Source organism: Homo sapiens, chromosome 1 (assembly GCF_000001405.40).
Source record: "Homo sapiens chromosome 1, GRCh38.p14 Primary Assembly".
Taxonomy (NCBI): Eukaryota; Metazoa; Chordata; class Mammalia; order Primates; family Hominidae; genus Homo; species Homo sapiens.
Genome location: NC_000001.11, coordinates 180,873,460 through 180,883,346, shown reverse-complemented (window position 1 = coordinate 180,883,346; position 9,887 = coordinate 180,873,460). Strand labels below are relative to the sequence as shown.

The 9,887-nt window shown below is 38.8% G+C and overlaps 1 protein-coding gene across 3 annotated transcripts in view; it reads right to left on the bottom strand.

The window, feature by feature from the left end:
* The window catches only part of XPR1 (xenotropic and polytropic retrovirus receptor 1), a 258,258-nt gene that overhangs the window by 6,933 nt on the left and 241,438 nt on the right, over window positions 1–9,887 (bottom strand). For all 3 annotated transcript variants that reach the window (NR_137330.2, NM_004736.4, NM_001135669.2), the window contains 2 exons: window positions 9,405–9,544; window positions 3,050–3,271 (listed from right to left, as the gene is read on the bottom strand). Coding sequence is in view for 2 of the 3 variants with exons in the window: in NM_004736.4 (NP_004727.2) it covers window positions 3,050–3,271; window positions 9,405–9,544 (362 nt within the window). In the remaining variant the exon portion in view is untranslated. The remainder of the gene's footprint in view (window positions 1–3,049; window positions 3,272–9,404; window positions 9,545–9,887) is intronic.

Below are 9,887 nucleotides of genomic sequence, written 5' to 3'. Positions count from 1 at the left end.
CGATTTCACTGAATACCACTTTCACCTCATGGAGACAGTATGCATATCAAGTGAGAACATGGATGAAAAAAGCATTAAACAAACTTAAGAAACTGGCTGGTTCCTGTAATCCCAGCTCCTTGGGAGGCTGACATAAGAGGATCGCCTTAGCCCGGCAGTTTGAGACCAGTCTGAGCATCACAGTGAGACCCTGTCTTAAAAAAAAAAAAAAAAAAAAAAAGCCAGGTATGATAGTGCAAACCTGTAGCCCCAGCTACTCAGGAAGCTGAGGAAGGAGGATCATTTCAGCCCAGGAGTTCAAGGCTGCAGTAAGGTATGATCACACCACTGCACTCCAGCCTAGGTGACAGACTGAGACCATGTCTCCAAAAAAAAACAACCAACCCCCAAAAAACAAATATAAGAAATTGTGATAAGGATGATGAGGATAAGATAAAACACCACTTGAGGCATACATGAGAAACCAAAAGAGTTAGCCAGCAGAAGAGAAGACCTAAGGAGAGGCATAACAGTTATTTCTCTTCAAAGAGTTGACAACATACAATGCAGAAGAGGGAGGAGACTCATTATAAGTTATGTGAGAGAGCCCAAATAGGATCAAATTGTTAAAGTTATAGTGAAATTACAGTGAAGCACATTTCAGCCCAACATAAACCATTTACCACTATAAATACCAACAATAAAATCAGGTGGCTGAGTGTGGTGGCTCTTGCCTGTAATCCCAGCACTTTGGGAGGCCAAGGAGGGAAGACTTCTTCAGGCTAGGAGTTTGAGACTAGCCTGGGCAACATAGTAAGACCCTGTCTCTATAAAAAATAAAAAATTAGCTGGGCAGAGGGGTGCAGGCGTGTAGTGCCAACTACTTGGGAGGCTGAGGTGGGAGGAGTGCTTGAACCCAGGAGGTTGAAGCTGCAGTGAGTCATGATCGTGCTGCTGCATTGAGCCAACCTGGGCAACGGAGCGAGATACTGTTTCAAAAAAACAAACAAACAAAAAAACCACACACATTAAGGATATGCTAAAGGTTGCATGAGTGATAAAGTCAGTACTGAAACTCAGATCTTATTTTGGATTCCCTGCTCTCTCCGCTGTACACCAACTGTTCCATTCCTAATGTCTTACTCTTGGTGCAATCTGGTTTCCCAGAGTTTCTCCGTTAAACACCTGAAATGGAACAGAATAATCTATTGCCAAAGAGCCCCTTCTTTAAGCAGAAATAGTATATGTTTAGATTGCCCTCTGCTGGTAACTAACAAGGATAATTAGACTTCAAAATCAGGAGCTCAATGAGGTCACCAATCACACTTAGCATTTTCTTCCAGCCCTTTGTGGCACTTATCTCACTGACCCACTCAGTGCTCCCCTGCCCCAGCTTCTTCAAACTCTGCTTCCTTGGGATCACAGCACCAACCATGCTTTGTTTTGATGCTCTTCCTATTACCTCCCTGACTATTCCTACCTCTTTTGTTTATTTTCTTTTTTTCTCTTGTCTGTGTTTGTTCCCTGGCTACTATGGTTGAGCCAGGGATTAAGACTCAGTTCCCTGCTCTCTGCTTTTCTCTGCCTTCTTCAGAGAACTTCCAAATCTCTATTTAAAGTTCAGCAGGTTCTACTCTACTCCTCTATATCCAATGAGTTACTGATACTACCTCCTGTTTCTTACTTCCTTCAAAACATCTCCTTATGTTCCTTCTGGTCCAACAGTAAGCATCCTGATCTGAATTTTCACTGCCCCATACATTGAAGTACTGCATAGCTTTTCATCTGGCTTTCTGGCCTTCAGTTTTTCCCTTGCCTAATATATCTTACACAGTGCTATTAAAACTTCCTAGGATACTACTTTCACAATGTCATTCTTCTACAGAAAAATTCTCTGTGACTCGTGGCTGGGTGCGGTGGCTCATGCCTGTAATGCCAGCACTTTGGGAGGCCAATGCGGGCGGATCACGAGGTCAGGAGATCGAGACCATCCTGGCTAACATGGTGAAACCCCATCTCTACCAAAAACACAAAAAATTAGCTGCGTGTGGTAGCGGACGCCTGTAGTCCCAGCTACTCGGGAGGCTGAGGCAGGAGAATGGCGTGAACCCAGGAGGTGCAGCTTGCAGTGAGTGGAGATTGCACCACTGCACTCCAGCCTGGGCAACAGAGCGAGACTCCATCTCAAAAAAAAAAAATTATCTGTGACTCATTCCTGCCTACAAGATCAAGTTTGCATTTTCAGCCTTTTACAATCATACTTCATCTATTCAGCAAAATTATTCTTACTATAATTCTAGTCACATGGTTTTTCTTTCTGCACTTCATTTCTACCTTTATGTTCTTTACTGTGTCTCTAGTCTATTCACTCCCTTATCCTTTAGAAAACCGTTCATCCTCAACCTAAGCCTCCTTCATTCCAATCTACTGTGCTATCTATTGTCTCTAAATTTCATATGCAGTCACCATATACTGTACATTTATGGTAACTTTTAGCAACATACGTAGTCAATGACTGATAAAAATATTGTTGTAGGTATTTAATAAGAAGATAAAAATAGTAATAGTTTATTCTTAGTAGGCTCTTTCTGTGAGGGAACTGGTCCAAGTTCTATGTAATAATGAATATAATCCACTTAACCTCCCTATAAGCAAGAACCATATTAATTTCAATTTACAGATGGGGGCAGAAAACAGAAATTAAGTCATTTGGTCAAGGCATAGATGGCAGGATTCCTAAAGTTTATAACATAAAAATTATTTGCATACACAACACACAGAAGAGTCAAGTATTAATAAATCACTCTCCAACAACCTTTTCCTCCAGACAGTGGATCTTTAGTGCCAAATTACTAGGTTATGCACTGATGACATTTACTCTATGTGCTCATTTAGACAGTCATAGGTTGTATCATATGGAATTGCTGCTTATTACTGTTTTTTTGTAGGTGAAAAATGGCTGAGTATTGGCAATTTCATTTGGTTCAACCTGATAGCTTTTTAGCTTACATGCTACCCAATGCTAAAACTCAAAGGAAATATGCCTCACAGAAGTAGAAGCCATACATACTGAGAAGCGAGGCGAGGCCGGCGCAGGGATATGCTCTGGTTGTACTTCCATGACCGATTCTTCTGGCGGTTTCGTACCCCATCATCCTGGTCCATCATCTGTTCTAGGAGAGTCTGATCATCTGCGTTCAGGGGGGCCACAGAGATGTCCCGCACAGCACGGAATTCACCACAGTTATTCAGATGTTCATTCTCCAGGCGGAAGAAGTTCCACACAAATCGCCTTAGCAAAATGGGGTAGATCAAAGTACTTATGAAATTGTAACATACTTCTGCTACCTGTAAACCTCCCAGTGTATCAAGTTTCCACTCATGGAAACAAAAACAAAGAATTAAGGGCTTGAATATTAAAATAGGGAAAGATGGTGTTGCGGGGAGGTGGTGGTGGGGGGGTAAGGGAAACAAGACTAGACTATGAAAAAGGGAGGGACTTATGCAATGCAGTTTTAGAGTGCTCATTCTTTCAACTTATTTGACAAATATTTACTGAATGTCTGCCATAAGGCAGTAAAGGCACAGAATGACTCAAAGCCTTTTTGCCCTTATGGGGTGTAATTTCTAGTGGTGGAGACAGACAATGAGCAAGTAAACAATCAATCGGCTAATGATAACTACTGTGAAGAAAATAAAGCAGGACAAGGGAATAGAGTATGCCATCATTAAGACTGGTTAGGGAAAGCTTCTTTGAAGACATGGCAGCTATTGAAAACCTGACTGATACAAAGAAGCAAGTCATGTAAAAATCCTGGAGGAAAGCATCCCAGGCAGAGGAAAATGGCAAGTATAAAAAGGCAAGTTGGAAACAACAGCAAGGTCAGTGGGGGCTAAGAATAAGTGAGGTTAAAATAGCAGGAGATAATGATGGAGGGGTGGAAGAGGGCCCACCCACAGAGGGCCTTATAACCCATAGTTTAAATTTTAGGTCTAATGGAGAACAATGAGAGAACAACAGGAGAATGAAGTGATTTGTTTGAAAAAGGTCCTGCTGAATGGTGAAGAGATCAAAGGGAGACAAGAACAGCTGAAGACAGACCAATTAGAAGGGCTGTTGCAGCAGTCCAGAAAAGAGATGATGGTGACTTAAAGGTGGTAATAACAGAAGTGATGAGAAGCAGACAGACAAAGGATTTATTTATAAAGATGGAGCTGACAGGACTTACTGACATGCGATGTGAGTCGTCTTAGGGTTTTTGGTCTAAGGGAAAGGTGACACCATTTACTAAGATCAGAGATGCAGGGCTGTTCCTGTTAGGTTAGAGCTAATCATTAGATATGGGAGAATTCAGTAGAGAGGTGGACGAGAGTCTGCAGTTCAAGGGAAAGTTTATGGCTGGAGATAGCATAAAGACAGTATTTCACATAATAGGTTTAGGAATAATACAACTAGAGGAGACAAGAGGGCAGAAGATTAAATCCTGGAACACTCTAACACTTAAAAGTTTGGGGGGAGGAGGAAGAACCAGTAAAGGAGTGGACAAGGAATAGCTAGTGAGACAGGAGACTGTAGTTTCTGAGAAGTCAAGTGAAGAAAGTGCTTTGCTGGGAAGTAAAGTAAGGTAAATAAGTACAGAGAACTGACAAGGGGATTTAGCAAAATGGGCAGTACGATCTAAAAGCACAGGCTCTGGGAGACTGTCTAGATTCAAATCATGGCTCTACCACTTGCTAGCTGTAATGACCTTGGATGAGTTACTTAACCTATGCTTCAGTGTCATCAGTAAAAGACATGATAACAGCACCTACTTCCTAAGATTGTTGTGAGGATTTAATAAAGGTAAAAGGCTTAGAACGCTGTCAGCTACATAGTAGGCACTACAATATTATTATTATAGATTATTAACAAAAGTGGTTTAGTTTGAGTATTGGGAATACATACTTGAATGAAAAAGAGAATGGGAGAGAAGTGAGAGTGGAGACAGCAAGTGCAGACGCCTCTTGAAGAGTTTTGCTATAAAGGACAGCAGAAAGATGGGCAGTAGTTGGAGAGAGAAAGCTGATCTAAAGATGGTTTTTTTGTTTGTTTTAAATGGGATAGAACATTTGATTTAGTTAGTAAGCAAATGATTTTAAAAAGAAAATCGTCATGAGGTATTTTTCTTTTTTTACTAGAATTTCTTTTAAAAAATTGATGAAGTAGCACACATGAAAGAGAAAGAAGTGGGTGGGGGAAGGTGGCAGCAGCGATGGGGAGTTCAGGTGCCAGGCCGAGGCATTCAGGAAGGTGAGGAAGGGAAGGAGCACTGGTCTGGAGAGAGCTCTGATGGCAGGTGGATTCCAGAGTCATGCTTTCTCTCTCAGGTTTATCTTCCGTTTCCAGCTTCTGTCTTATTTTAACAGGCAGTGTTTGTCGATCTTGACTTAGACGAATGTTATACACCTATCTGAAAATATCTTTATATCGTCTTATTTGTGAAAGATATCTACACTGGGCAGAGTCTAGGTAAGCAGTTATTTTCTTTCAGCACATTAAAGATTTCATTTTAATAATTTCTGACTTTCACTGTTGCTGTTGAAAGTTAGTCCTTCTTTCTCTTGGCTAATTTGCCTTTTTTTTTTAAGATAAGCATTTCAACAGAAGTATATCACACATAAAGTATGCAAATAAAAAATGTACAGCTTAATTATCATAAAGGGACTCACTGTGTAATTACCATCCAGAAATATGAAATACATTACCATACACTGAAAACCACCTTTAGGGTTCTTTCCTATGTTAACTTCCAGAGAGTTCATTGATTTACTCTTCATACTTAGTTCTACAATCCACCTGGAATTGATTTCACACACAGTATACAGTAGGAGCTGGGAACCATTTTTTTCCATATGGATATCCAGTTGACTCAATATCATTTATTAAAGGCCCTCTTTTTCCACTGTTATGTAGCCACCTTTGTCATAAATCAAGAAGTATCAAGGTATGCACGAGTGGATTTCTTTCTGTACTCCCTATTCTGTTCCAGTGGATTGTCTATCCTTTCACCAACACCATATACTGTCTTACTCACTGTAACTATATAATCAATTTTGATATCTGACAGTATAAGTCTTTTAACTTTGTTCTTTTCAGGATAGTCTTGGCCATTCTTGACCTTTCATATTCCCATATAAATTACAGAACTGGCTTGTCGATTTTCTCACGTCTACACAGCTTTAATTAAACCTATTCCTAGGTATATATCTGATATATTCTGATGCTATTCAAAATGATATGGTTTTTAAAATGTTCTTTTTCTAGTTGTTATGACTGTTTTTAAAAATGACTGATTTATATTATGTTGACCATGTATTCAGAACTGTGACATTAGATCTAATTATTTGTAAACTATTTTGAATTTTCTGTGTAACTGTCATCAGTGAATAATTATAGTTTTATTTTTTCCTTTCCAATTATGATAGTTCTTTTTCCTCATTGCGCTAGCTATACTTTGATGATATTAAATAAAAGTGGGAACAGCAGACACACTTGTCTCATTCCTGATTTCAAGGGAAAGTTTATAGTGTTTCACTGTTAAATATGTTCTTGATTGTGTTTTTGTAGAAAACATTTTTTTCATGAACAGGTATTGACTTTTATCAATGGCCTTTTCTACAAATATAGAGGTTCTTTTTCCCCCTTTATTCTGTTAATATAAGTGAGACAGGTTTCTTTCTTTTTTTTTTTTTGAGACAGGGTCTCCCTCTGTTGCCCAGGCTGCAGTACAGTGGTGCAATCTTGGCTCACTGCAACCTCTTCCTCCTGGGTTCAAGCAATTCTCCCAACTCAGCCTCCTGAGTAGCTGGGACTACAGGCATGCGCCACTACTCCCGGCTAATTTTTCTATTTTTAGTAGAGATGGGGTTTCACCATGTTGGCCAGGCTGGTCTTGAACTCCTGACCTCAAATGATCCACTCACCTCAGCCTCCCAAAGTGCTGGGATTACAGGTGTGAACCACCGTGCCTGGCCCTGATTGATTTTTGAATGTTAAATCTTACATTCCTAGAACGAACCTAACTTGTATTACCCTTTTTATATATTGTTGAATTCATATGCTAATATTTCATTCAGGATTTTTACAACTGTGTACATGAGACAGATTAGTTTTTATTAAAATGTCATTGTAGGCTTATATATCAAAGTTATGCTGGCTGCAGAGAACAAACTAGAAAGTGTTTCCTTTTATGCTCTTTTTTTTTCTGGAAGAGTTTTGTATAAAATTGGTTAATATTTCTTCCTCAAATATTTGAAAGAATTCCTGGGCCTGGCGTTTTCTTTGTGCAAAGTATTTTAACATGAATTTAATTTCTTTAATACAGATTTTCTATTTCTTCTTTATTGGTTTTGGCACACTGCTTTTTCAGTAATTTGTCCATTCATCTAAATTTTTAAATTTATTGATATAAAGTTGCTCATAAGATAGTCTTACTCTTTAAATAAATGTCTTTAGGTTTTTTGATATTCATAATTTGTACTTCCTTTTCTTTTTTGCTTTATCAGTCTTAAGTACTTTATCAACAGTATTTGGCATTTTAAGGAAATTAAGTTTGGCTTTATCATTAATAATTTTCTGTATTGTGTGTTTGTTTTCTGTTCCATTAATTTACGTTCTTTATATTTACTTCTACTTTCTTTTGGGATTTGCTGTTTTTTAAATCTTTCTTATTTCCTGAGCTATATACTTTTCTGATATATACATGTAAAGTTACACATTTCCTTGTAAGCATGGCCCTAGCTGCATTTTACATTTTTCTCTTTTATCACATTTTCAATTACATTCTGTTCAAAAAAAAATTTTTTTTTTTTTTTTTTTTGAGACGGAGTCTTGCTCTGTCACCCAGGCTGGAGTGCAGTGGCATGATCTTGACTCACTGCAACCTCTGCCTCCCAGGCTCAAGTGACCCTTACACCTCAGCCTCCTGAGTACCTGGGACTACAGGCGCGCACCACCATGCCCAGCTAATTTTTGTATTTTTTGTAGAGATGTGTTTTGCCATGTTGCCCAGGCCAGTGTCAAACCCCTGAGTTCAAGTGATCTGCCCACTTTGGCCTTCCAAAATGCTGGGATTACAGGCATAAACCATCATGCCTGGCTACTCAAAATATTTTAAAATTTGCATTACAATTTTGACCTGGGGTTATCAGACATGTACTGCTTAATTTCTAAACATTTGGGACTTTTGAGTTATCTTTTTGTGATTATAATCCCTGCAATTTGTTGAGACTTCCTTTATGGCACAGTGTAAGGTTAATTTTGGTAAATGTTCTACATGTATTTAAAAGAATATGTATTTAGTAGTTGGATGCAGTTCTCTACGTATGTCATTCAGGTTTAATTAATTAACTGACCCGTTATTTATCTATCACTGAAGGAAATATGTTAAAATCTGAAATTGTAAATTTACTTGTAGCAACGCCAGCTTTTGCTTTACAAAATTTTAAGGCATTTTATTAGGTGCATACAAATTTTAATTGGCAGTCACAAGTGAATTTCAAAGTCTACAGATTTGGCAAATTTCTATAGTGCAAAGGTAGTGTTAGTGCTCTGTTTATCTTGGGGCTCCTGTTTTCATTTAGATTTTGGATTATCTTGTCTGATTTTTTTTTAGAATATTTAAACACTTTTTTTTTTGAGACGGAGTTTTGCTCTTGTTGCCCAGGTTGGAGTGCAACAGTGCAGTCTTGGCTCACTGCAACCTCTGCCTCCTGGATTCAAGCGATTCTCCTGCCTCAGCCTCCCGAGTAGCTGGGATTACAGGTGCCCACCACCATGCCCAGCTAATTTTTGTATTTTTAGCAGAGACAGCGTTTCACCATGTTGGCCAGGTTGGTCTTGAACTCCTGACCTCAGGTGATCCACCGGCCTCGGCCTCCCAAAGTGTTGGGATTACAGGAGTGAGCCAGTGCACCTGGCCAGATTTAAACACATTTTATCTAGCATTTTTATTGTTTTCAGTGAGAAGGCTGGGCTGAATAACTCAGACTGCCAAATTGCAAAAAATGATTGATTTCTGTTTTAAGCCATTTTACCTCCCAATTTCCACTTATCCTTTCAATGGAACCCCGTTCTAAAGAAGCTTTTAAGTCATCATCAATGGTTATTTTAACTTTGTAAGAATTAACCTCTGGGCCGGGCACAGTAGCTCACGCCTGTAATCCCAGCACTTTGGGAGGCCGAGGTGGGTGGATCAACTGAGGTCAAGAGTTCGAGATCAGCCTGGCCAACATGGTTTTCCAATTCTAAGGCTGAGGAGAAATTTGAGAAAAGTTGGAAAATTAAAGGTTTTCAAGTACAAGTTATAATAAATTCTAATTTGTAAGTATTGGGTGTCTTTTAGGTTAAAAAGAATCTTTAATAAACTTTTCAGTAGTTTGCTTACCGGAAAACCTCAAGTGGGGCAAAGACAGTAGCAATGATGTCCCCAGAATGAGGCAACAAAGTTGTAGAGGTAATCGAGATTTGGATAGTCCAAGCAAAGCGCAGAATCACATCCTCTATTATGGCACAGTAGTAGTAGGCCTGAGAAATAATAAAGAAATTGAGTATGTTTTCTATCACATTTCTCATAAATAGGCATACCAATGAGCATATGTCCTACAAACAAGACTCACACATGTCCTACGAATAAGCACAGGCTCAAGAGGAAAGTTGTACTTTATTTTGCAGGGAAGTACACATTATATTTTAGAATGATTTCTACCAATTTAGTTTTTTCTTAAATGGTATAATATCCAGTATGAAGTATTACTGAATTTGAGTAATCATTAACAAATATATTTCACTGCCATACTGTATACCAGGCTTTCTTCTAGGGCCCAGAAATATAAGCTGGTTAAGATCCTTGATTGATTGAGATTACATT